Below are 27,731 nucleotides of genomic sequence, written 5' to 3'. Positions count from 1 at the left end.
CTCATGCCTGTAATCCCAGCACTTTGGGAGGCCAAGGCGGGCAGATCACAAGGTCAGGAGATCGAGACCATCCTGGCCAACATGGTGAAACCTCGTCTCTACTAAAAGTACAAAAATTAGCTAGGCATGGTGGCGTGCGTCTCTAGTCCCAGCTACTCCGGAGGCTGAGGCAGGAGAATTGCTTGACCCCGGGAGGCAGAGGTTGCAGTGAGCTGAGATCCTGCCGCTGCACTCCAGCCTGGTGACAGAGCAAGACTCCATCTCAAACAACAACAACAACAACAACAACAACAAACCCTAAAATTAATATATATAAAACATATATATATATGTAAAATTATGTGTGCGTGGTGTGTGTATGTATATATGTATAAACTTATATAACTGTTTCAGGTAAAAAATATCTATTCTTGTTATATATGATGTACCTTGATATCTTCTTTTTTCTTTTCTTTTTCTTTTTCTTTTTTTTTTTAGATGGAGTTTCACTCTTGTTGCTCAGGCTGAATGAAGTACAATGACTTGATCTTGGCTCACTGCAACCTCTGCCTCCCAGGTTCAAGCGATTCTCCTTCCTCAGCTCCCGAGTAGCTGGAACTACAGTAGTGCGCCACCACGCCCGGCTAACTTTTTGTATTTTTAGTAAAGATGGGGTTTCACCATGTTGGCCAGGCTGGTCTCGAACTCCTGACCTCAGGTGATCCACCCACTTCGGTCTCCCAAAGTGCTGGGATTACAGGCGTGAACCACTGCGCCTGGCCCTTTTCTTTTTTTCTTTCTTTCTTTCTTTTTTTTTTTTGAGACAGGATCTCACTCTGTCACCCAGGCTGGAGTGCAATGGGGCAATCTCAGCTCACCGCCACCTCCACCTCCTGGGTTCAAGCGATTCTCCTGCCTCAGCCTCCCTAGTAGCTGGGATTACAGGCATGAGCCACCACACCCAGCTAATTTTGTATTTTTAGTAGAGATGGGGGGTCTCTCCATGTTAGTCAGGCTGGTCTCGAACTCCCGACCTCAGGTGATCCGCCCACCTTGGCCTCCCAAAGTGCCAGGATTACAGGCATGAGCCACCGCACCCAGCCATGGCTAGCTTCTTTTAAGAATTTTGGGCTGGGTGTGGTGTCTCACACCTGTAATCCCAGCACTTTGGGAGGCCAAGGCGGGTGGATCACCTGAGATCGGGAGTTCGAGACCAGCCTGACTAACATGGAGAGACCCCCATCTCTACTAAAAATACAAAATTAGCTGGGTGTGGTGGCACATGCCTGTAATCCCAGCTACTCGGGAGGCTGAGGCAGGAGAATCGCTTGAACCTGGGAGGCCGAAGTTGCCGTAAGCCGAGATCGCACCATTGTACTCCAGCCTGTGTAACAAGAGCAAAACTCCATCTCAAAAAAAAAAAGATCCTAGCCATAAGCCATGACTTGATTTCCCAATGCACAAACAGATTACAGTTCAGTTCTATGTGCATGGTGCCCTGTGGAGTTGTACAGGACAGCAGCTCAGAAGTGACCTTGCTCAGAGAGCCAGATTGCTCTCTCAGGTCAGCTACTCGTGAATATGCATCACTGACACAAAGCCTTCTGCATACCAGAGGCTATTGGCTCACTGCCACCACCTGCAAAGCTAATGGGGAAGACTCTTCTTTCTCTTCAAGTCTGAATGAATTGAAGTCTGGCCCAAAAGAAGGCAGAAGTATCTTGGGTTCTTAAGAACATAGAGTCAGGTACTTGATAGACTTGTGCTCTGAATGGTGTCCAGCAGGTTAATTTAGACTTCATGAAAATATTTCTTCAGTGCTTACTCTGTACTAGCATTTTAGGTGAACTATCTCATCTGATCATCAGAACAAACCTCTAAAGTAACTTAGTTACTAGTGCTGTCTCTGTTTTAGGGATGAGGAAATTAGGGACTGGAGATTTTAAATAACCTGCTGGAGTTCCTAAAGTTCAGTTTATGTAGATAGAGTTTACGAATGTCTAGCGATAGAGCCTGACATATTACTATATTTATTGAGTTGCCTGAATAAATGGGCAAATTTCAACTTGAAAGACTGGAAATAGGGATACAAAGCCAAAAATGGAAGAAAGAGCTTTATCCACCAGGCTGCAGATTTTTAGACAAGGGCAAAGTCAGGTCAGGAATCTATAAGACTGGGGTTTGGGTTTCATCTTTCTCTTTGACTAATCTTTATCTAAGTTGATTCATTTCAGTCTTTTTTTTTTTTTTTTTTTTTTGAGACAGGGTCTCATTCTGTTGCCCAGGCTGGAGTGCAGTGGCACAATCTCAGCTCACTGCAACCTCCGCTTCTTGGGTTCAAGCAATTCTTCTACCTCAGCCTCCTGAACAGCTGGGACTACAGGTGTGTGCCACCACGCCCTGCAATTTTTTTTTTTTTTTTGAGACCAGGTCTCGCTCTGTTGCCCAGGCTAGAGTGCAGTGGTGCAATCTCAGCTCACTGCAATCTCCACCTCCCCGATTCAAGCGATTCTCCTGCTTCAGCCTCCCAAGTAGCTGGGATTACAGGCATGTGCCACTACACCCAGCTAATTTTGGATTTTTAGTAGAGACGGGGTTTCTCCATGTTGGTCAGGCTGGTCCCGAACTGCCGACCTCAGGTGATCTGTCTGCCTTGGCCTCCCAAAGTTCTGGGATTACAGGCGTGAGCCACCGCGCCTGGCCTAATTTTTGTATTTTCAGTAGAGATGTGGGATTTAGCCATGTTAGCCAGGCTGGTCTTGAACTCCTGGCCTCAAGTGATCTGCCCCCCTCAGCCTCCCAAAGTGCTGGGATTACAGGCGTGAGCTACCGCACCTGGCCTAGTTTTCTTTTCTTTTTTATACTGTCGTTACCTTTGTTTTCCTTCTACAAATAACTTGTTTCAGAGGAACAATTGTTAAGAGTTCATTGTCCCTTCTGATCTTGGTATGATTAGCTTCTTTGTATCATTCAGGTCTCTGGTCAGATGCTACCAGCACAGAAAGCTCTTTCCCAACCACCTTTTCTAAAAGATCCTTCCGGCCTCTCTCTAACTCCTTTTATTCTTCTTTACTTTCCATCTAAGTACAGTAAGCCCTCTCTATCTGTGGGTTTCATATCTGTGAGTGTGACATCTGTGGATTCAACCAACCATGGATCGAAAATATTCAACGAGACAAAATAGGTGACTGCTGCTGTACAGACTGAATATGTATAGGCCTTTTTTCCCTTTGTCATATTGTCTAACAAGAGAGTATAAAAACTACTTATATAGCTAGGCGTAGTGGTTCACGCCTGTAATCCCAGCACTTTGGGAGGCCGAGGTGGTGGATCATGAGGTTAGGAGCTCAAGACCAGCCGGCTAAGATGGTGAAACCCTGTCTCTACTAAAAATACAAAGATTAGCTGGGCATGGTGGCAGGCACCTGTAATCCCAGCTACTCAGGAGGCAGAGAACTGCTTGAACCTGGGAGGCAGATGTTGCGGTACCGCACTGAAGCCTGTTGACAGAACCACGCTCTGTCTCAAAACAAAAAACAAACAAAAAAAAAACTGGCCGGGCACGGTGGCTCACTCCTGTAATCCCAGCAGTTTGGGAGGCTGAGGCGGGCAGATCACCTGAGGTCAGGAGTTCAAGACCAGCCTGGCCAACGTGGTGAAACCCTGTCTCTACTAAAAATAGAAAAATTAGCTGGGTGTAGTGGTGGGCGCCTGTAGTCCCAGCTACTCAGGAGGCTGAGGCAGGAGAATCACTTGAACCTGGGAGGCAGAGGTTGCAGTGAGCCGAAATCAGGTCACTGCACTCCAGCCTGGGCAATAGAGCATGACTCTGTCTCAAAAACAAAACAAAACAAAGCAAACAAACAAAAACACTACTTATATGCATTTACATTGTATTAGGTATTATAAGTACACTAGAGATCATTTAAAGCACACAAGAGGGTTGGGCAGACTGGCTTATGCCTGTCTTGGGAGGCTGAAGTTGGAGGATCACTTGAGGCCAGGAGTTTGAGACCAGCCTGGGGATCATCGCAATACCTTGTCTCTATAAAAAAATAAAAACAAAAATAACCCTGCATGGTGTCACATGCCTGTAGTCCTGGCTTCTTGGGAGGCTGAGGCAGGTGTTTAAGCCCAGGGATTTAAGGCTGTAGTGAGCTGTGTTTATGCCATTTCACTGCAGCCTGGGTGACATGGTGAGACCGTGTGTCAAAGAAAAACTCAAACTTTTTTTTATTAAGAAAAAAAGTATGCAGGAGGATGTGTGTAGGTTATATACAAGTACTATGCCATTTCATATAAGGATCTTGAGCATCTTTGGATTTTCTTATCCATGGGGGGGTCCTGGAACCAATCCTTCATGGATACCGAGGGACAGCTGTAATAATCAGTGCTTGAAATCTTATTATTTATTTGTCTGTTGCCTGTGTTACCCATTGTAAGGTGAGCTGAAGCTCATGCAGTGAGCCGAGATCGCGCCACTGCACTCCAGCCTGGGCAACAGAGCGAGACTCCGTCTCAAAAAAAAAAAAAAAAGTAGCTCCCAAGATTGTCCAGGGAGTCATGTTTCTTCCTTTCATCCAGGAAGGTTAAATGGCATGCAGTTCTAATGGGCCAGGTCTGGAAGTGATTTCATGTATATATATATATATATATAAAACTTCCCCCCACCCCCACTCTGTCGCACAGGATGGAATGCAGTGGTGTGATCACAGCTCACTCATTGCAGCCACAACCTCCTGGGCTCAAGTGATCCTCCTATCTCAGCTTCCTGAGTTGCTGGGACTACAGGCGCCTGCCAGCCACCATGCCCAGCTAATTTTTGTAATTGCTATAGAGACAAGGTCTTGCTATGTTGCCCATGTTAGTCTTGAACTCCTGGGTTCCAGCAATTCTCCTGCCTTGGCCTACCAAAGTACTGGGATTACAGGCATGAGCCACCACGCCTGGCTGTATATCATTTTTGACCACATTCTACTTGGCACATCCTAAGTTCAAGTGAAGTTGAGAAATACAGTCTAGCTGCGTGCCCAGAAGAAAAACAGATTTGGTGAATAGCTAGCCAATGTCTGCCACTATGGTTAAATTGGTCCCTGTTAGGTTTCTATAAATAAATAATTTGAATTAAAGTAAATCACTACTGTATATTTGTACTGTATAACATCTCAAAACCATTTGTTTCAGATAATTTCTAAAGTCTCTATGATAAAACCAGTTCCTATTTTTTGAGAGCTGCCTTTTATATTCTCTAGGGAGAGGAAAGAAAAGAGAAACTTGAACCTGATTTTGTAAAACATCTATTTGTATCTAAATTGCTTTACAAGATTGTGAAATGTTTCAATATAAGCTGCAGTTTTGACTTGATTACAAAACCTGTTAGAGTTGCCCCCAGAGGTATGGATTTTTCTCACAGAGGGGCTGTTGACACTGCAAAATACATTTCAGAGGGTTTGAAAATCTTACCACATTGAAAGGAATGGATTTTTAGAAAAATTCCAAATTCTAGTTTAGGTACAGGTGAAGCCAGTGGTCCCACTTAGATTGCCTTACCATAATGCTTCTTTTCTAACTTAATACTGGTCAAGACCATAAACTCCAGAAGAATGAGTTTTAGGCCATTGGTCAGAGGGGTAGAAAGGTGATAATATGAAATGAACTAACATTTACTGAGCCTTATTTGTCAGGACCATGCAAGACACCGTGCCCATAGTTGATTTTCTTTAATCCTCACTTCAACACTGACAGGAAGGTAGAGGAGGAGAGCATGCTCCCGGTCTTATTGGTGGAGACCCTATCTCTAGGAGGCTAATTTACTTGTGATCCCACAGCCAACAAGGGACAAACATGGATGTGGCTAAGGTTCATCTGACTCCAAAGCCCACGCTCTTGACTAGACTGGACTAAGCAGGAGAGTGAAAATGAAGAACTTGGGAAATGAGCTAGAGACTAACATTAACAATTTGTGGAACTCAGCTCCTCTGTCTTTTCTTTCCTAAAAATCCCCGAAGATGATTAATTCCTTTGTATCTCTGTTAGCCACTAGCCCTGTAGAAAGACTCAAGTCAGGTGTATGGTTAGAGCTTCAGATCCAACACGTATCAGCTTTCTGATCTTTCTCATCCCTTATCAAAATTGCCTTGCAAGGAGTTTTTCCAAACCAGCTGTCTGTGGGAGCAATTAAGTTCCAATCCTGATTCTGACGGTGAAGTTCTGGCTGCCCTGACCACACCTCCATGGGGAAAAAACTGAAACGGACAGATGAAGGGAGCAATTCCAAGAATAATTTTGGCACTTGATTTAAGACTGGAAAATAATTTTCCTTCTTATTTGGGCAAGGAAAATGCCTCAAGGACAGTAAGAGCCTGTGGGAGCGGTCCAGCGGAGAGCCCCTTTTCCTCTTCTCTTCTGCCAGGGCTCAGGTCTGTAAAACAGCTGAACTATTTGCCACCTTCCTGAGTTTTGCTCTCTGTAGTTTATAGTGCAGCTGGAAATATGTACATTATTTAAATAAAAAATTAAGCCAAATAGCAAGACTTTGGAGTGTTAGAAACAACAATATTTACAATACTTGTACAAGAATTAAACTGAAATTTCAATGTCATCTATAAGGTAAGTTTTTTGAACTCTAAGAATTTTATATTGACTGGGCACGGTGGCTCATGCCTGTAATCCCAGCACTTTGGGAGGCCAAGGTGGGTGGATCACCTGAGGTCAGGAGTTCGAGACCAGCCTGACCAACATGGCGAAATGCCCTCTCTACTAAAAATTCAAAAATTAGCCGGGCATGGTGGTGTAATCCCAACTACTCAGGAGGCTGAGGCAGGAGAATCGTTTGAACTCAGGAGGCGGAGGTTGCAGTGAGCTGAGATTGCGCCATTGCACTCCAGCCTCGGTGACAGAGCAAGACTCCATCTGGAAAAAAAAAAAAAAAAAAAAAAAGCTGACACTTAATGTACTGATATTTAATGATCTCCAGGTTGTATTGTTAAATTGTTAAGTGAAAAAAGGCAAATGCAGAACAGTGTGGAAAATATACACAAAAGTAACAGTAGAGAAAGGGGAGTGGAGAGAATATATATGTTTTTGCTTTATATACGTGTTGTGGTCTGAATGTTTGTGTCTCCCCCAACCCCCTTCTCCAAATTCATATATTGAAACCTAATCCCCAATGTAATGGTATTTGGAGGTAGGGCTTCTGGGTGGTGATTAAGTCATGAGGGTGGAGCCCTCATAATGGGATCAATGCCCTTATAAAAGTGGCCCCAGAGAGATTTTTTACTGCTTTCAGCCATGTGAGGACACAGCAAGATGGCTGGCTATGAACCAGGAAGTGGGTTCTCATCAAACACCTAATCTGGGCCAGGTGCTGGTAGCACACACCTGTAATCCCAGCACTTTGGGAGGCCGAGGCAAAAGGATTGATTGAGGCCAGGAGTTCAAGACCAGCCTGGACAACATGGTGAGACCTTGTCTCTACAAAAAAAACAAAAAATAAAAAATAAGTAACTGGTTGTAGTGGTATGTGCCTGTAGTCCCAGCTACTTGGGAGGCTGAGGTAGGAGGATACTTTGAGCCCAGGAGTTTGAGGCTGGAGTGAACCACGATCCTGCCAGTGCACTCCAGCCTGGGCAACAGAGTGAGACCTTGTCTCAAACAAACCAAACAAACAAATGAGAAAACACCTAATCTGCTGAACCTAGATTTTAGGTTTCCAAGCTCCCAGGACTGTGAGAAATAAATTTCTGTTGTTTATAAGTCCATGGGCTATAATATTTTGTTATAGCACCCATATGAACTAAGATAATGTATAAACTGTCTCTAAAAGGACATAGAGAAAATTGTAACATCAGTTATTTCCAGAGGAGAACTGGGTAGCTGGATTATAGGGGTGAGAGGGAAACTCTTTGTATGTTCTTTGCAGCTTTTGAGTTTGATACCATTCAACTATATTAAAAATTTAACAGATTTTTTTAAATTAAAAGGATTGAGAATTTAAAAACATAACAAAATAAGCATAACAAATAGTCTTGTTTTGTTTTTTAATAGAGACAGCATTTTGCCATGTTGCCCAGGCTGGTCTTGAACTCCTGGACTCAAGGGATTTGCCCACCTCAGCCTCCCAAAGTTGCTGAGATTACAGGCATGAGCCACCGCACCCAGCCACAGATAGTTTCTTTACTTTAATAATATGATGTATGTCTTCATTTTTTATTTTTAATTAAAATTTTTTTTAAGATTATTAGAGATGGGGTCTCACTATATTGACCAAGTTGGTCTTGAACTCTTGGCCTCAAGCATTCCTCCTACCTTGGCCTCCCAAAGTGCTAGGATTACAGGCATGAGCCACCATGCCTGTTTTTGCCATGTTGGCCAGGCTGTTCTTGAACTCCTGGCCTCAAGTGATCCACCTGCCTCTTGGCTCCCAAAGTGCTGGGATTACAGATGTGAGCCACCACACCCAGCTGGCGATGTTAATTTTGGATACATAGACAAGATGTTGTCCAGTTTCTCCACTATTTTGCGCCATACAATTAGTTTTATTTTATTTTTATTTTTTATTTCTGTGTGCAATTAATAAGCAATCAATGGCAAGATATTTTGAGACCAGGCCAGGCGCAGTGGCTCAAGCCTGTAATCCTAGCACTTTGGGAGGCCAAGGCGGGCAGATCATTTGAGATCAGGAGTTCAAGACCAGCCTGGCCAACATGGCAAAACCCCGTCTCTACCAAAAATTCAAAAATTAGCTGGGCATAATGGTGGGCACCTATAATTCCAGCTACTTGGGAGGCTGAGGCATGAGAATTGCTTGAATCCAGAAGGCAGAGATTGCAGTGAGTCGAGATTGCACTACTGCACTCCAGCCTGGGCAATAGAGTGAGACTCGGTCTCAAAAACAAAAAACAAAACAAAACAAAACAAAACAAAAGATATTTTGAGACCATGAAAGTGTCTAGAAATTTCTTAATGCTTATCTTTTGTACATTTTACTGTTTGGTTTTGAATTTTCTCTTGATTTTTCTGCTATTCACAGTTATTATAAAGACAGCATTAAATGTCTAAATGTTGAGAAATTACTTAATGGGTACAATGTACACTATATTGGCCAGGTTGGTCAATCAACCCACACTATTTGGTTGATAGTTATACTAAAAGCCCAGATTTCACCACTATGCAATATATCCACGTATCAAAACTGCACTTGTACTCCTTACTTTTATACAAATAAAAATAAATAGGCGAGGCGTGGTGGCTCACGCCTATAATCCTAGCACTTTGGGAGGCCAAGGTGGGTGGATCACTTGAGGTTAGGAGTTCAAGACTAGCCTGACCAACGTGGTGAAACCCCATCTCTACTAAAAATACAAAAATTAGCCAGGCATGATGGCGCATGCCTGTAATCCCAGGTACTCAGGAGGCTAAGGGAGGAGAATTGCTTGAACCTGGGAGGCAGAGGCTGCAGTGAACCTAAATGTCCAGCTATTAGGGTGTATGATACAACTCCATAATTATTTTAGTCCTTTTAGTTCTGTTCTGTTCTGTTCTGTTCTTTTCTTTTCTTTTAGAGACGGGGTCTCACTATGTTGCCCAAGCTGGTCTCGAACTCCTGGGCTCAAGTGATCCTCCTGCCTTGGCCTTCTAAAGTGGTAGGACTGCAAACGTAAGCCACTGTGCCTGGCCAATTCCATAATTATTGTTATTTATTATTTATTATTATTATTTTTAAGACAGAATTTCGCTCTTGTTACCCAAACTGGAATGCAATGGCGCGATCTTTGCTCACCAGAACCTCTGCCTCCTAGGTTCAAGCGATTCTCCTGCCTCAGCCTCCTGAGTAGCTGGGATTACAGGCACGCACCACCACGCTCAGCTAATTTTGTATTTTTAGTAGAGACCGGGTCTTGCCATGTTGGCATGTTGGTCAGGCTGGTCTTGAATTCCCCATGTCAACCTCCCAAAGTGCTGGCATTACAGGCGTACAGGCATGAGCCACTGTGCCTGGTCCTTTTTTTTTTTTTTTTTTTTTTTGAGATGGAGTCTCACTCTATTGCCAGGCTGGAGTGCAATGGATGACACTATCTCAGCTCACTGCAACCTCTGCCTCCTGGGTTCAAGATATCCTCCTGCCTCAGCTTCCCAAGTGGCTGGGATTACAGGTGCGCATCACCACACCCAGCTACTTTTTTCTATTTTTAGTAGAGACGGGTTTCACCATGTTCACCAAGCTAGTCTTGAACTCCTGACCTCAAGTGATCTGCCCGCCTCGGCCTTCCAAAGTGCTGGGATTACAGGCATGAGCCACCGTGCCCAGCCGAAAAGCATTCTTATGATGGCTTGTGTTTTTTATAAGATGTCAATGCCATGACAGACTCTGACAGGAACCATGCAGTAGGAAGGAGCCTGGTCCTGCTCCCCCATCCTCCTTCACATGTTTCTCTAGTGCCCCCTACTAACTGACCCTAACAGAAGCTGGCTGACAAAGAATAAATGTAGTTTGTAGAGTTCTAGACTCACCATCTCAAAGTCCAGCATGGAGGTTTCAAAACCACTGGCATGGGCCGGGCGCGGTGGCTCATACCTGTAATCCCAGCACTTTGGGAGGCCAAGGCAGGTGGTTCACAAGGTCAGGAGTTCAAGACCAGCCTGGCCAAGATGGTAAAACTTTGTCTCTACTAAAAATACAAAAAAAATTAGCTGGGTGTGGTGGCAGGCGCCTGGCACCTGTAATCCCAGCTACTTGGCAGGCTGAAGCAGAGAGGTTGGCCTGGGCAACAGAGCGAGATTCCGTCTGAAAAAAAAAAATCCACTGGCATATAGGATTCAAGGTACTGGGAAAGTAATTCTGGGTTTGGAGCTGACAGATCATAGCTTACGTAGGCACAGTCTACATATTAGAATTCTGAGACACATTTAAGGCCTAGCTCAGAAGAAAAGTCATAGCTTTAGATACAAACACTAATCTGTAAATTCTTGTTACTTGCAGTAGTTATATTCTATAAAGTTGCCATAAACACTGAATTAGCAAATATTGAACCATTGCCTGTGGGGGAAATGCAGGGTTAGGTTCTGTTGAGCCTGTGGTCATATTTTTGTCAACTAGTCAATATGTAACCTTGTTTTACGGGCGTTTCTGTTTTGGTTTCGTGTTGTTGTTGTTTTAATTTATTTATTTTTTTGAGACGGAGTCTCGCTCTGTCGCCCAGGCTGGAGTACAGTGGTGCGACCTCGGCTCACTGCAAGCTCCGCCTCCTGGGTTCACGTCATTCTCCTGCCTCAGCCTCCAGAGTAGCTGGGACTACAGGTGCCCACCACCATGCCCGGCTAATTTTTTTGTATTTTTTAGTAGAGATGCGGTTTCACCGTGTTAGCCAGGATGGTCTCGACCTCCTGACCTCGTGATCCGCCCGCCTCGGGCTCCCAAAGTGTTGGGATTACAGGCATGAGCCACTGCGCCCAGCCGTGTTGTTGTTGTTTTTTGAGATGGAGTCTTGCTCTTGTCGCCCAGGCTGGAGTGCGGTGGCATGATCTTGGCTCATTGCAACCTCTGCCTCCGAAGTCCAAGCAATTCTCCCACCTCAGCCTCCTGAGTAACTGGGATTACAGGCGCCCACCACCACGCCTGTCTAATTTTTGTACTTTTAGCAGAGATGGGGTTTCGCCATGTTGGCCAGGCTAGTCTTGAACTCCTGATCTCAGGTGATCTACCTGCCTTGGCCTCCTAAAGTGCTGGGATTACAGGTGTGAGCCACCGCGCCTGGCCCTTGTTTTGTTTTTGAAACGAGGTCTCTGTTGCCCAGGCTGGAGAGCAGTGTTGTGATCTCTGCTCACTGCAGCCTCTGCCTCCTAGGCTCAAGTGACTTTCCCATCTTAGCCTCCTGAGTAGCTGGGACCACAGGTGAGTGCCACCACACCCAGCTGATTTTTTTCTTTTTTGGTAGAGACAGGGTTTAGCCATGTCGCCCAGGTTGGTCTCCAACTCCTGAGCTCAAGCAATCCACCTGCCTTGGCTTTCCAAAGTGCTGGGATTACAGGTGCTAGCCATGGTACCTGGCCCAGAGCAGCATTTTCAACCTGCATGTCATAACCTTTTAATAGTTCATAAAATGTTACAAAAAATTTAATGGTTCTTAACATAAAATATTTTTAAGAGACATAGAATATAAAAATTTGAGTACATAGTACATAATCAGGGTAAGTATTGTTTTTATAAAATTTGTACTTTTATTTTGTGTGTGTGAGTGTGTGCATAGTAGTTGCTGTGTGAAATGTATTTCTTACTTTTTGTTCAGGTCAAAGGTTTGAAATTCACCAATGCACAGGTCTCAGGGTATATGGAAAGTAGTTCCTCAGTACACTCTAGGGAGTCTAGAGACTGTTTAATTTTTTGTTTTGTTTGTTTGTTTGTTTTCTTTTGTTTGAGATGGAGTCTCGTTCTGTTGCCCATGCTGGAGTGCAGTGGCATGATCTCAGCTCACTGCAACCTCTGCCTCCTGGGTTCAAGCAATTCTCCTGCCTGAGCCTCCCGAGTAGCTTGGATTACAGGTGCTAGGTGCCTGCCACCACTCCTGGCTAATTTTTGTATTTTTAGTAGAGACAGGGTTTCACCATGTTGGCCAGGCTGGTCTCGAACTCCTGACCTCAGGTGATCCGCCTGCCTCGGCCTCCCAAAGTGCTGGGATTACAGGCATGAGCCACTGCACCCAGCCTAAGCCTGTTTAATTGTTAACCCTAACACTGATACAGGAAAGTCAACTTTTCTCTACTAAAAAGCTTTTCTCAGGGAACACTTTTACATTGCTGATGGGAAAGTAAATTAGTACAACCACTATGGAAAACAGTATGGATATTCCTTAAAGAACTAAAAGTAGAACTACCATTCGACAGCAATCCCACTGCTGGGTATCTACCCAGAAGAAAAGAAGCCATTACATGAAAAAGACACTTGCACACACAAGTGTCTTTATAGCAGCGCAATTCATAATTGCAAAACTATGGAACCAACCTAAATGCCCATCAACCAACGAGTGGATAAAGAAAATGTGGTATATATAAATACCATGGAATACTACTCAGCCATAAAACAAAATGAAATAATGGCCTTTGAAGCAAGTTGGATGGAGCTGGAGGTCATTATTCTAAGTGAAGTAACTCAGGAATGGAAAACCAAATACCATAGATTCTCATTGATAAGTGGGAGCTAAACTATGAAGATACAAAGGCATAAGAATTATATAATGGACTTTGGGGACTCAGAGGGAAGGGTGGGGTGGTGAGGAATAAAAGACTACACATTGGGTACAGGGTACACTGCTCGGGTGACAAGGGCACCAAAATCTCAGAAATCATCACTAAAGAGCTTATCCATGGAACCAAAAACTGCCTGTACCTCAAAAACTACTGAAATTTAAAAAAAATGTTTTTTCCCCATGGTTTATATCATTTCCTTATAGGCTTCATTTTTTCCAGAGGTTAACTTTTTTTTTTTTTTTTTGAGACAGAGTCGTGGTCTCTTGCCCAGGCTGGAGTGCAGTGGTGTGATCTCACTGCAACCTCTGCCTCCTGGATTCAAGTGATTCTCGTGCCTCAGCCTCCTGAGTAGCTGCAATTACAGGCTGCTGAGTAGCTGCAATTACAGGCATGTGCCACCATACCCAGCTAATTTTTTTCCTGGCTTCAAGTGTTCTACCCAACTCGCCCTCCCAAAGTGCTGGGATTACAGGCATGAGCCACCGTACCCAGCCTCCAGAGGTTAACTTTTCTTTGCTACCTGCTGCATAATATCATTGATAATTTCTTTGCTACCTGCTGCATAACGTCATTGATAATTTCCATCTGTTCCACTGATATTGTTTCTCCTGGCAACTGTTAGCTGGACTCCTTCAATTTTATCCATCTTAAAATTATATTTGCATGTTTTTCTTTCTTTCTTTCTTTCTTTTTTTTGAGACGGAGTCTCGCTCTGTCGCCCAAGCTCGAGTGCGGTGGCGTGATCTCGGCTCACTGCAAGCTCCACCTCCCAGGTTCATGCCATTCTCCTGCCTCAGCCTCCCGAGTAGCTGGGACTACAGGTGCCTGCCACCACACCCGGCTATTTTTTTTGTATTTTTAGTAGAGTCGGGGTTTCACCATGTTAGCCAGGATGGTTTTGATCTCCTGACCTCCTGATCCACCCGCCTCTGTCTCCCAAAGTGCTGGGATTACAGGCGTGAGCCACCACGCCCGGCCTCTTTCTTTCTTTCTCTTTTTTTTTTTTTTTGAGACGGGGTCTTGCTCTGTCACCAGGCTGGAGTGCAGCGGTGTGATCTTGGCTCACTGCAACCTCCGCCTCCTGGCTTCAAGCGATTCTCCTGCCTCAGCCTCCTGAGTAGCTGGGACTACAGGTGTGCACCATCACACCCAACTAATTTTTGTATTTTTAGTAGAGACGGGGTTTCACCATGTTGGTCAGGATGGTCTCTATCTCCTGACCTCGTGATCCGCCCAGCTCGGCCTCTCAAAGTGCTGGGATTGCAGGTATGAACCACCGCTCCTGGCCCTTTCTTTTTTTGAGATGGAGTCTCACTCTGTTGCCAGGCTGGAGTGCAGTGACATGATCTCGGCTCACCGCCAATCTCCGCCTCCTGGTTTCAAGTGATTCTCCTGCCTCAGCCTCCCAAGCAGCTGGGATTACAGGCATGCACCACCATGTCCCACTAATTCTGTATTTTTAGTAGAGGTGGGGTTTTGCCATGTTGTCCAGGCTGTTCTTGATCTCCTGACCTCAAGTGATCCTTGAGCCTTGGCCTCCCAAAGTGCTGGTATTAAAAGGATAAGCCACCGCACCCAGCCTTATTTGCATGTTTTTCATATTGAGAATTTATTAAATTTTTTACTGCATGGTAGATTCCTGAACTTTCACTGTATTATTTCTCTTAGTCTTTAGTTATAATAATTTTTTCCATGTGGAAAAAATATCTGCCTAACATATGGAAAAATAAAAGAAAAAACATGGAAGATCAAGCCATTTCACCAGTCCTTCAGGCTGCCCTTGCCTCCTACTTAATTCCTTCTTTCTGCCCTTCTCTAAGCTCTTCCTAAATATGGCATTGAGAAGGCATTTACATTTCTTTTCTTTTTTTTATTTTTATTTTTGAGATGGAGTCTCACTCTGTCACCCAGGCTGGAGTGCAATGGCGTGATCTCGGCCCACTGCAACCTCTGCCTCCCAGGTTCAAGAGATTCTCTTGCCTCAGACTCCCAAAAAGCTGGGATTACAGGCACCTGCCACCAGGCCTGGCTAATTTTTTTTTTTCTATTTTTAGTAGAGACAGGGTTTCACCAGATTGGCCAGGCTGGTCTCAAACTCCTGACCTCAAGTGATCCACCTACCTTAGCCTCCCAAAGTGCTGGGATTACAGGCGTGAGCCACTGCACCTGGCCGGTATTTACATTTCTCTCTCTTTCTCCCCAGCTTCTCCTTCCCTTCCTTTTTGAGAGTTGCCATAGGAGCCTCTAAGATAGCTCCCAACATTTCACCCTCCTGGTATTCATGCCCTTGTGTACTCCCTCCCCTTCCTTTAAGTGTCAGCTGAACAAGGTGACTTGCTTCTAACAAATAGAATAGGGCATGAGTAATGGGATGGCACTTCCAAGATTAGCATGCAAAAAGAATATGTGATTTTCATCTTGTATTCTCTCATTCTCTCTGCCTTCATTCTGGGGGAAGCCAGCTGACATGTTGTCAGAAGCCCTGTGGAGGTGCCACATGGCAAGGAATTGGTGACTTGGGCTAACAGCCAGGGAGACCCTGAGACCTGCCAACAACTACTGACTAAGCTTGGAAGTGGACTTTCCCCTAGTAGAGCCTTGAGATGACTATGTCCCTGGCTGACACCATAATTTCTTCCTTGTGAGAGACCTTGAGCCAAAGGACCCAGCAAAACCATGTCCAGAATCCTGACCCGCAGAAACAGTGAAATAATATTTCTTGCCTCAAAGGCAGTCATCTGTTTAGCTTCAGCCCAGTCAACTCTCACCTGGATAACTTCAGTAGCCTTTTTTTTTGAGACGGAGTCTTGCTCTGTCACCAGGCTGGAGTGCAGTGGCGTGATCTCAGCTCACTGCAGCCTCTGCAAGCTTCTGCCTCCCAGGTTCAAGTGATTCTCCTGCCTCAGCCTCCCAAGAAGCTGGGACTATAGACAGGCACCACCACACCTGGCTAATTTTTGTATTTTTAGTAGAGACGGGGTTTCACTGTGTTGGCCAGGCTGGTCTCGAACTCCTTACCTCAGATGATCCGCCCACCTTGGCCTCCCAAAGTGCTGGGATCACAGATGTGAGCCACCGCACCCAGCCTAACTTCAGTAGCCTTCTAGCTGCCTCTTCATAAGGAAATAGTCATCCATTTCTTGCGTGTGTCAAACCCTGTGTGAGACACCTTCACTCTAGCAGTCCCCTCACCTCAACCAATGCATTCATCATATAACAGAGCAATTTTTGGCCAGGCGCGGTGGCTCATGCCTGTAATCCCAGCACTTTGGGAGGCCGAGGCGGGCGGATCACGAGGTCAGGAGATTGAGGCCATCCTGGCTAACATGGTGAAACCTCGTCTCTACTAAAAATACAAAAAATTAGCTGGGCGTGGTGGCAGGCGCCTGTAGTCCCAGCTACTAGGGAGGCTGAGGCAGGAGAATGGCGTGAACCCGGGAGGCAGAGCTTGCAGTGAGCCGAGATCGCGCCACTGCACTCCAGCCTGGGCGACAGAGTGAGACTCCATCTCAAAAAAACACAAACACAAACAAAAAAAACAGATTAATTTTCCTGAATGGCCTACCTTCCCAAGGCCAAATTCCTTAGCATGGCTCATAAGCTCCTCCATGCTTTGGTCCTGGCCTCCACTGCAGTCTTGTCCTGCCTGCCCCTACCCTCCAGGCCAGCTGACCCTCTGGATTCAGCTCACCCTCATTACACTCATTCATTCAGGAAACATTAATGAGGCCAGGCCTAGTGGCTCAGGCCTGTAATCCCAGCAGTTTGGGAGGCCAAGATGGGAGGATCCGATGAACCCAGAAGTTTGAGACCAGCCTGGGTAACATAGTGAGATCGCATCTCTATTAAAAAGAGAGAGAGGGCAGGGCGCGGTGGCTCACTCCTGTAATCCCAGCACTTCAGGAGGCCGAGGTGGGCGGATCACAATGTCAGGAGATGGAGACCATCCTGGCCAACATGGTGAAACCCTGTCTCTACTAAAAATAGAAAAATTAGCCGGGCATGGTGGCGGGCACCTGTAATCCCAGCTACTCGGGAGGCTGAGGCAGGAGAATCGCTTCAGAGGGAGTCGGAGGTTGCAGTGAGCTGAGATCGCGCCACTGCACTCCAGCGTGGTGACAGAGCGAGACTCCATCTCAAAAAAAAGAAAACATTTATGAGGGCCTACTGAGTGCCTGGAACTTTTGAAAGGCACTCGAATTCCAAGATGAATAAAATGGAACAGTTCTATGCCCAAGGAACTACATTACTATACAGTAGGTGATATCTTTGGGGTGTTCTCCAAGTACCATGGAAAACTAACCCAGACTCAGGGGTCCTAGAAAGGCTTTCTGGAAGATAAATGAGGGAGGGCATCCCAGGCAGGCAAAATAGACAGACAAAAGCCTGGACAAAATTCCTGGCCTCTGCCCACCTGGGAAAACCTCAAATTGTTTTGTTTTGTTTGTTTAGAGACAGGGTCTCCTTCTGTGGCTCCGGCTGGTGTGCAGTGGCGCAATCATGGCTTATTGCAGCCTGAAACTCACTATCTGTAGAGCCAATCCTGAACCATGCATCATACATCACTGCCTATATAAGCACTTATCCTTGAAGGAAAGAACTGCAATTGTTCTTCCTTTATTTGGGCCCAACTGCTTTAAGAGGGCTCTGAATGCCGAGGGGATGGAGAGGGGCAGAGGACAGAGAAGGCCCCAGAGAGCACAGCAGAGGAGGCATTGGCCCAGGGCTAGAGGCATTGAGCTCCTCTAAAGCCAAGTTGCTAGAGGCATCCCTGAATCTCCAATTGTCTGATTCTGGAAACCTGTAGGCACTTTCAAGCTGGAAGGAAAATGAGCACCTTTATGATGCATCTAAAGCTTGTTTGCTCCCTGGGGGCAGTTCTGTGATGGTCAGGTTTTGAACATTTGCATATGAATGAAAACCAGAAACAATAGTTACATAAACCCCTAGGGGGCTGATTTGGGTTGCAGAATTGGGGGAGGATCGAACTTCAACTCCTCTGGAAATCTGCAGAGCAACTTAATGGACTGCAGAGTCTATTCAGAAGGATGGGCTGGGTGGGGTCTGAATACTTGAATTCTCTTTTATCCTTGTTTAGGCTGAGAGAAGCTAGGGGCGGATGGAGGTTTCTGGAAGGCTTTTGCACCATGGCCCTCACCCTCTTATTTAGGCCCTGCACACTACACTTTACTCTGTAACCCACTCGCTACCACTAAGATAGCAGCCTCTGCCTCCAGTTGACATCAGATGTCGAATTTTTCCAAAGGGCTGGAATTTTTGCCGTTGTCCCTGGTCTGTGACTGCATCGCAATGCCAAATCTCTTTTTTTTTTTTTTTTTAGACAGGGTTTCGCTCTGTCACGCAGGTTGGAGTGCAGTGACACAATCGTGGCTCACTGTAGCCTCAACTTCCCAGAATCAAATGATCCTCCCACCTCTGCCTCCTGAGTACCTGGGACTACAGGCATGCACTAATGCCTGTAGCATGTACATAGTAATGTAGCATGCCTGGCTAATTTCTTTTTCTTTTTCTTTTTTGAGATGGAGTTTTGCTCTTGTCGCCCAGGCTGGAGTGCAATGGCACCGTCTTGGCTTACTGCAAACTCCGCTTCCCGGGTTCAAGCATTTCTCCTGCCAAAGCCTCCCGAGTAGCTGGGATTACAGGCATCCGCCATTATGCCCAACTAATTTTTGTATTTTTAGTAGAGACAGGGTTTCACCATATTGGCCAGGCTGGTCTCAAACTCCTGACCTCAGATGATCCACCTGCCTTGGCCTCCTGAAGTGCTGAGATTACAGGCGTGGGCTGCGCTCGGCCAATTTTTTTTTTTTTTTTTTTAATTTTTTTGTAAAGATGATGTTTTGCTATGTTGCCCAGGCTGGTCTCAAACTCCTGGATTCAAGTGATCCTTCTGCCTTGGCTTCCCAAAATGCTGGGATTACAGGCATGGGCCACCTTGCCCAGTCCTTCAGCACCAAATCTCTAACCTAACCCCATGTTTTATCCCCTTCAATAACCCCATGTGGCCTGTCTCACTCAACATTGCTCTAGAGACCCAGTGTTGTTGCTTCGTACTGCAGGGGGTGCTACTGATAATGTCAGCAGCGGCGATTCCCAGGGGTCAGAAGAACTCCATTCTTGCCTCCTCGGAGGAAATAGTTCAGCCAAGGGGCATAAGGCAGAGTGACAGACTGAGGCAAGCTTTAGAGCAGGAGTTAAAGTTTATTAAAAAGCTTCAGAGCAAGAACAAACGGAAGTAAACTACACTTGGAAGAGGGCCAACCAAGCAACTTGAGAGATCCAAGTGCTCCAACTGACCTTGGCTTGAGGTTTATACATTGGCATGGTTCTGGGGTGTGCATTTCTTCTACCCTGATTCCTCCTTCGGTGTGGGCTGTCCTCGCGCAGTGGCCTGCGGATACTTGGGAGGGGCCGCGTGCGCAGTGTGGTTACTGAAGTTATGCGCATGCTCATTTGAGGCATTCTTCCCTTACCAGTTGAGTGTTCCTGGAGGAAGGTCATATACCAGTTAAACTCTGCCATTTTGCCTCTTAGTGCACACGCTTGAGCCCACTCCCCCAACTCCTGAGATCTTATCGGGAAGCTGTGGATGACCAGCGTCAGGTGTTTTCTATCTGTTGGGAGACTGCCTTTCCCTGGTGCCTGCTGTAACCAATTTTTATTTTATTTTATTTTATTATTTTTTAGATGGAGTCTTGCTCTGTCGCCCAGGCTGGAGTGCAATGGTACAATCTGGGCTCACTGCAACCTTCGTCTACAGGGTTCAAATGATTCTCCTGCCTCAGCCTCCTGAGTAGCTGGGATTACAGGTGCCCGCCATCATGCCTAGCTAATTTTTGTATTTTTGTAGAGATGGGGTTTCACCATGTTGGCCAGGCTGGTCTTGAACTGCTGACCTCAGGTGATCTGCCCACCTCGGCCTACCAAATTGCTGGGATTATAGGCTTGAGCCACAGCTCCTGGCCCAATTATTATTTTAGAGACACAGTTTAACAGCTGCCTGACCATCACCTGACAGTCGTCTGACCATGGCCTGACATTCCTAGGTGGGGGGACTCCTCTCCTGTCCTGCCTACATCTGCCTAACTACCTATTCTAACAGTATGGTGCTGTTTTGGAATTTTAGGTTAAAAATTGAACTCTCCAGTGATGGAGAAATAAAGAATGTTTCAACTCAATTGTGAGGAAAACTGGTTACCAGAAACATGTGTATCTTTCTTGAATTGGGCCTCATGTAGAAAAGATTGTTCATCGTGAACCCCACGCCCATTTTACTGCCGTCTCTCAAAGTTTCACAGAAAAGGCACAAAGCTCCCTCAGTATCAAGACTTTGAAGCTCAAGGATGTGTCCTATTTATTCCTGGAGCTGCCACACTGCAGACATTCAGTAAACATGATGGTCTATTTAGGAGAGGAGAAGCCACCCACATTCTCTGGGTCAATTTCTCCCTCATGCCTTTCCCTTTCTGCATAACTCCATAGCTTCTGGTGTCACACCTGCAAAACCAAACCAAACAAGCTTCCCCATAAGCCATCCCTGCCCCACTGTCTTTCTCTCATTTGCCCCTGCCATCCACCTTAGCTACTGTTCTTTCTCTTTCTAGAAAAAGAGATTAGCTCTACTTCCCCTATTCACTCCCTACACCCCAACATCACAAAATCTTTCAGCTTCTATTATTCACAGAAACCACATTTACTACATTGATCAGTAGCCTTTTCTTTTCTTTCTTTTTTTTTTTTTTGTAGTTGCCTCTTAATTGAGAAACCAGCAGGGCCCCTTACCATCACTTAGCTTGTATTGCTTTTGACTATTTTGCCTTGAAATGCTTCTATAGGCCGGGTGCGTTGGCTCACGTCTGTAATCCCAGCACTTTGGGAGGCCGAGCGGGACGATTCACTTGAGGTCAGGAATTCGAGATCGGCCTGGCCAAAATGGCGAAACCCTGTCTCTACTAAAAATACAAAATTTAGCTGGACTTGGTGGCACACGCCTGTAATCCCAGCTACTCAGAGGCGGAGGCAGGAGAATCACTTCAACCTGGGAGGTGGAGGCTGCAGTGGGCCAAGATCGCACCACTGCACTACAGCCTGGGCGACAAAGTGAGACTCCAGCTCAAAAAAAAAAAAAAAAAAAAAAGACAGAAAGAAAGAAATGCTTCTATAGTATCTTTTCTGACAACACGCTGTCCTGGTTCTCCAAGGACATTTTCAGGCCAAGTCCCCTGTCACCCTCAGGCTCCTTCAGAGCCTCCTTTTATTCCCCTCCTACCCCAATAACATAGGCGTTACTAAGGGTCCTAGTAAATTAAACTAAGTTTGGCCAGAGGCTGCCTCCATACCTTGAGTTCCTACTGAAAGAACTGCAACCTAACTTCAGCAGGTAAACTGAGAGCCTAATATAGAAGTTTTGTTTAATAACAAATAGCTGAGTGTCAGCCAAGCACAGCAGCTGAGCTTCAGTCAGTCACAGGCTACCAACTGATCAGACCATGTCTCAATACTGAGCTGTAACCAATCAAGCTGTTACAGAGTGGAGCTCTTGAAGCTCTGCTTGTTCCCAGAGCCACCCGATTCAGGAACTGTTCTTTAGGCTGGGCATGGTGACTCACATCGGTAATCTCAGCACTTTGGGAGGCTTAGGCAGGAGGATGGCTTGAGGCCAGGAGTTCGAGATCAGCCTGGGCAACACAGCAACAGCCTGTCTCTATGAAAATAAATAAATAGCCGGTGCGGTGGCTCACGCCTGTAATCCCAGCACTTTGGGAGGCCAAGGGGGGTGGATCATCTGAGGTCGGGAGTTCGAGATCAGCCTGACCAACATGGGGAAACCCTATCTCTACTAAAAGTACAAAATTAGCCAGGTGTGGTGGCGCATGCCTGTAATCCCAGTTACTCAGGAGGCTGAGGCAGGAGAATCGTCTGAACCCGGGAGGCAGAGGTTGCAGTGAGCCAAGATTAGGCCATTGCACTCCAGCCTGGGCAACAAGAGCAAAACTATGTTTCCAAAAAAAAAAGAAAGAAAGAAAAGAAAAGAAATAAATGAATAAAAGCTAGGCATCATGGCATGTGTCATGTGGTTCTAGCTACTCAGGAGGGTCCCTTGAGCCCAGAAGTTTGAGGCTGTGGTGAGCTATGATTGAGCCACTGCACTCCAGCCTGCGCAACAGAGACCAGTCTCTAAAAATATATATATATTTTTAAGGAATCATTCTTTGTTCAATTACCCTCTGTTAAATTTAATTTGTCTAGAATTTTTCTTTTAACAGTTCTAATGTTGCTCCTCTCCCCTCCCTCCCCTTGCCAGAACTTTGCTCCTCAAAGTGTGATCCACCTTGGCCAGCAGCACTGTCCTCACTGAGAGCCTTATAGAAATGCAGAATCTTAGGCCCTACCTCAGGCTTTCTGCATCAGAATCTGCATTTTTGCTTTTTTTTTTTTTTTTTTTTTTTGCGACAGAGTCCAGCTCTGTTATCCAGGCTAGAGTTCAGTGGTGCAATCTTGGCTCACTGCAACCTCCGCCTCCTGGGTTCAATTGATTCTTCTGCCTCAGCCCCCTGAGCAGCTGGGATTACAAGTGCTCACCACCATGCCCAGCTAATTTTTGTAGTTTTAGTAGAGACGGGGTTTCACCATGTTGGCCAGGATGGTCTCAAACTCCTGACTTCAAGTGATCCACCCGCCTAGGCCTCCCAAAGTGCTGGGATTACAGGCGTGAGCCACCACGCCTGGGTTTTTTTTTGTTTGTTTGTTTGTTTTTTTTAGAGACATGGTTTTGCCATGTTGCTCAGGCTGGTCTTGAACTCCCAAGCTCAAGTGATCTGCCTGCTTCAGCCTCCCAAAGTGCTAGGACTACAGGCATGTGCTACCATGTCCAGCTATTTAAAAATACATATTTTTTATAGAGATGGGGGTCTCACTATGTTGCCCAGGCTGGTCTTAAAGTCCTTCCACCTTGGCCTCCCAAAACACTGGGATTACAGGCATGAGCCACCGCGCCTGGCCCAAGTTATAATAACTTTTTAAAAAATTGCTTACTGGTTGAGAACATATGCCCTAGAATTAAACTTCCTGGATTCCAGTTCTGGCTATGCTTTTCACTAGTTGGTGACCTTGAATATCTTGCTTAACTCCTCTTGGTTTCTTGATCTATAAAATGGGAATAATAATTATACATACTTCATACCTTTTTGGTTTTGGTTTTGTTTTTTGAGACGGTCTCATTCCCGTCACCCAGCCTGGATGCAGTGGCGCGATCATGGCTCGCTGCAGCCTCAAATTCCCGGGTTCGGGTGATCCTCAGCCTCCAGAGTAGCTGGGACCACAGACAGGTGCTACCACGCCCAGCTAATTTCTTGTCTTTTTAGTAGAGATGAGGTTTTTTTTTTTTTTTTGAGACAGTCTCGCTCTGTCACCCAGGCTGGAGTGCAGTGGCACGATCTCAGCTCACTGCAAGCTCCACCTCCCGAGTTGACGCCGTTCTCCTGCCTCAGCCTCCCGAGTAGCTGGGACTACAGGTGCCTGCCACCACACCCAGCTAATTTTTTTGTATTTTTAGTAGAGACGGGGTTTCACCATGTTAGCCAGGATGGTCTCGATCTCCTGACGTCGTGATCCGCCCGCCTTGGCCTCCCAAAGTGCTGGGATTACAGGCGTGAGCCACCGCACCCAGCCAGAGATGAGGTTTTGCCACATTGGCCAGGCTGGTCTTGAACTTCTGACCTCAAGTGATCCGCCCACCTCTGCTTTCCAAAGTGCTCGGATTATAGGCATGAGCCACCTTGCCTGGTTCAGGTTTTGTGAAGATTAAATTAGCTGATACCTATAAACAAACTGCTTAGGAGAATGTCTGACACATTTTGTGATGTTGGTTATAACTTATGTTAACGATACATGCCTTGTAGGATCCCCTACTTTGACCCTGATGCTCCCACTTTACTAGCTGCTGGACTTTCAACATTCTTCTTAAAATTCTCTAAGTCTTGGCTTCTTATCTGTAAGTGGGAATAATAAACCAGATAATACTTACCATATTAGATTGTAATGGAGAATAAATTAGATCATTCATGTACAGTGCTTATAATAAGTGCTTGATAATATGAAGCGTTAATTTTTTTTTTTTTTTTTTTTGAGATGGAGTCTTGCTCTGTCTCCCAGGCTGGAGTGCAGTGGCATGATCTCGGCTCACTGCAGCCTCTGCCTCCCAGGTTCCAGCAATTCTCTGCTTTAGCTTCCTGAGTAGCTGGGATCACAGGCATGTGTCACCACGCCCAGCTAACTTTTTGTATTTTTACTAGAGATGGGGTTTCACCATGTTGGCCAGGCTGGTCTTGAACTCCTGACCTCAAGTGATCTGCTTGCCTGGGCCTCCCAAAGTGCTGAGATTACAGGGGTGAGCCACCCCACTCAGTCAAAAAAAGTTTTTTTGTAAGATAGGGTCTTGCTACGTTGCCCAGGCTAATGTTCTTCCTGGGTTCAAGTGATCCTCCTGCCTCAACCTCCTGAGTAGCTAGACTACAGACACTCCACCCAGCTAATTAAAAAAAAAAATTTTTTTTTTGTAGAAACAGGGTCATGCTATATTGCCCACGCTGGTCTCAAACTCCTGGCCTCAAGCATCCTCCTGCCTTGGCCTCGTAAAATGCTGGGATTACAAGTATAAGTCACCACGCCTGGCCTAATACGAAGGTTTTTTTTTTTTTGAGACAGAGTCCTGCTCTGTCACCCAGGCTGGAACGCAGTGTCGTGTTCTCAGCCCACTGCAACCTCCGCCTCCCAGGTCCAAGCAATTCTCCTGCCTCAGCCTCCTGAGTAGCTGGGATTACAAGCACCTGACATGATGCTCAGTTAATTTCTTTTTTTTTTTTTTTTTTTGAGATGGAGTCTCGCTCTTATTGCCCAGGCTGGAGTGCAATGGCACGATCTTGGGTCACCGCAACCTCCATCTCCTGGGTTCAAGCGATTCTCCTGCCTCAGCCTCCCAAGTAGCTGGGATTACAGGCATGCACCACCATGCCCGGCTAATTTTTGTATTTTTAGTAGGGATGGGGTTTTCTCCATGTTGGTCAGGCTAGTCTTGAACTCCCGACCTCAAGTGATCCACCTGCCTCAGCCTCCCAAAGTGCTGGGATTACAAGTGTGAGCCACTGCGCCTGGCCCAATTTTTGTATTTTTAATAGAGATGGGGTTTTGCCATGTTGGCCAGGCTGGTCTTGAACTCCTGACATCAAGTGATCTGCCCGCCTCAGCCTCCCAAAGAGCTGGGATTACAGGAGTGAGCCACCATGCCCGGCCTTATTTATTTAATTATTTTGAGATGGAGTCTCGCTCTTTCGCCCAGGCTGGAGTGCAGTGGCACAATTTTGACTCACTGCAACCTCCACCTTCCCAGGTTCAAGCCATTCTCCCACCTCAGCCTCCAGAGTAGCTGAGGCTTGCGCCTCCACAGGTTTGCGCCACCACACCTGGCTAATTTTTATATTTTTAGTAGAGAAGCAGTTTCACCATGTTGGCCAGGCCGGTCTTGAATTCCTGAGGTCAAGTGATCTGCCTGCCTCAGCCTCCCAAATTGCTGCGATTACAGGCGCGAGCCACCGCGCCCGGCCTGAAAGTTTTTTTATTTTTATTTTTTTATTATTATTATTTTTTGAGACAGAGTTTCGATCTTATTGCCCAGGCTGCAGTGCAATGGCACGATCTCGGCTCACCGCAATCTCCACCTTCCGGGTTCAAGCGATTCTCCTGCCTCAGCCTCCCGAGTAGCTGGGACTACAGGCATATGCCACCACGCCCGGGTAATTTTGTGTTTTTAGTAGAGACAGGGTATCGCCATGTTGATCAGGCTGGTCTCGAATTCCCCTCCCAAAGTGCTGGGATTACAGGCGTGAGCCACTGTGCCCTGCCTTAAATTTTTTAATAAGTTAAAACAAACTGAATAACAATGTCTATTTCACAGGTTACTGTGGAGATAAAATGAGAGTACTTTGAAAACTTTAATTTGAAAGCTTTACCACTAAATGATGCACTAGTTATGTCAATCCATTTCCACTAGATGGCAGTAGACATCGCCAAAACCAGCTTAGCTCTACTAGCTGCTGGAGAACGTACATTTTTAGGAAATGACTTAACTGGTCTTGTTTTTGTGACTATATTGAAATGTGGTTGGAGTTTTTGTATGATTTCAAATGCATGAACTACCTGCTTGAGCTTAGAAATATTTTTGTTTGATGTGGATTGTGAAAAATGATTATTCTTAGTATAGAGCCTGTTCCATACCCCTCTCCCTCAGTTTCCATCTTCATCTTTGGATGTGCACATCTTTGTTTTTTATTTTTGCTTTTGAGACAGAGTCTTACTCTGTTGCCCAGGCTGGAGTGCAATGGCGTGATCTCGGCTTACTGCAACCTCTGCCTCCTGGATTCAATCGATTCTCCTGCCTCCACCTCCTGAGTAGCTGGGACTACAGGTTTGTACTAATATGCCTGGTTAACTTTTTGTATTTTTAGTAGAAACAGGATTTCACTATATTGGCCAGGCTGGTCTCAAACTCCTGGACTCAAGTGATCTGCCCGCCTCGGCCTCTCAAAGTGCTGGGATTACAGGCATGAGCTAATGTGCCTGGCCCCATCTTCATTTTTGGATGTGCACATCTTTGGAAGTGCTTTAACCCTACCCCCTTTTTACTCAAAGTATGGTCCAAAGACAAGCAGCAGCAGCTTAACCTGGGAGCTTGTAGACAGGTGGAATTCTGGGCCTCGCCCTAGACTCACTGAATCTGAGTGATTCATATGGACATCAAAGTTTGAGAAGAACTGCTTTAGCCACATGGAGTCTCTTGGAATTCTCTAAAGGAGTCACGCTCGCCTTTGCACATGCTGATCTTCCCAAGTCAGAAATACCCCTTTCTCTATCTGCTAGGCAAGCTAGCCTCTTATTTACCCTTCTTATTTAACTAATCATCAGGGAACCGGCAAAAGAAGAAAGATAGGGGAGACTGGTAAATATATAGTCAGTGGGAAAAAGAATGCTGGGATAAGACTGCAATATGAAATATAACACTGCTTAATATTCACAGAGCAATGAAATGGCAACCTTTGGAGATATCTTTTCTTTCTTTCTTTTTTTAAACAAGAGTCTCGCTTCTTCGTTCATGCTGGAGTGCAATGGCGCGCTCTTGGCTCACTGCAATCTCCACCTCCTGGATTCAAGCAATTCTCCTGCCTCAGTCTCCCCAGTAGCTGGGATTACAGGCATGTGCCACCAAGCCTGGCTAATTTTTGTATTTTTAGTAGAGACTGGGTTTCACCCTGCTGGCCAGGCTGGTCTCAAACTCCTGAAGTGATCCACCTCAAGTGATCTACCCGCCTCGGCCTACCAAAGTGCTGGGATTACAGGCGTGAGACACCGCACCTGGCCTGGAGATATCTTTTCTACCCAACAAAATCATTTGCCACTTATTTTCCATAAGCTAACATCTAACTTTACAGACT

The 27,731-nt window shown here is 45.8% G+C and overlaps 4 annotated features.

The window, feature by feature from the left end:
- Window positions 2,874-2,943: an enhancer, noted in NCBI's record as "active region_21585". NCBI's record gives its function as "activates an Ori minimal core promoter by ATAC-STARR-seq in GM12878 lymphoblastoid cells {active_cell/tissue: GM12878}" and the evidence as "EXISTENCE:reporter gene assay evidence [ECO:0000049][PMID:35858748]".
- Window positions 13,896-14,395: an enhancer, noted in NCBI's record as "H3K4me1 hESC enhancer chr4:57714899-57715398 (GRCh37/hg19 assembly coordinates)". NCBI's record gives its function as "activates a minimal SCP1, AML or CMV promoter by ChIP-STARR-seq in naive H9 embryonic stem cells {active_cell/tissue: H9 hESC(naive)}" and the evidence as "EXISTENCE:reporter gene assay evidence [ECO:0000049][PMID:30033119]".
- Window positions 17,450-17,955: an enhancer, noted in NCBI's record as "OCT4-NANOG-H3K27ac hESC enhancer chr4:57711339-57711844 (GRCh37/hg19 assembly coordinates)". NCBI's record gives its function as "activates a minimal SCP1, AML or CMV promoter by ChIP-STARR-seq in naive H9 embryonic stem cells {active_cell/tissue: H9 hESC(naive)}" and the evidence as "EXISTENCE:reporter gene assay evidence [ECO:0000049][PMID:30033119]".
- Window positions 17,956-18,461: an enhancer, noted in NCBI's record as "OCT4-NANOG-H3K27ac hESC enhancer chr4:57710833-57711338 (GRCh37/hg19 assembly coordinates)". NCBI's record gives its function as "activates a minimal SCP1, AML or CMV promoter by ChIP-STARR-seq in naive H9 embryonic stem cells {active_cell/tissue: H9 hESC(naive)}" and the evidence as "EXISTENCE:reporter gene assay evidence [ECO:0000049][PMID:30033119]".

The sequence above is a fragment of the Homo sapiens genome, chromosome 4, assembly GCF_000001405.40.
Source record: "Homo sapiens chromosome 4, GRCh38.p14 Primary Assembly".
Classification (NCBI taxonomy): domain Eukaryota; kingdom Metazoa; phylum Chordata; class Mammalia; order Primates; family Hominidae; genus Homo; species Homo sapiens.
The sequence above is the reverse complement of the archived record's forward strand: the minus strand, read 5'-3'. Positions and strand labels throughout refer to the sequence as shown.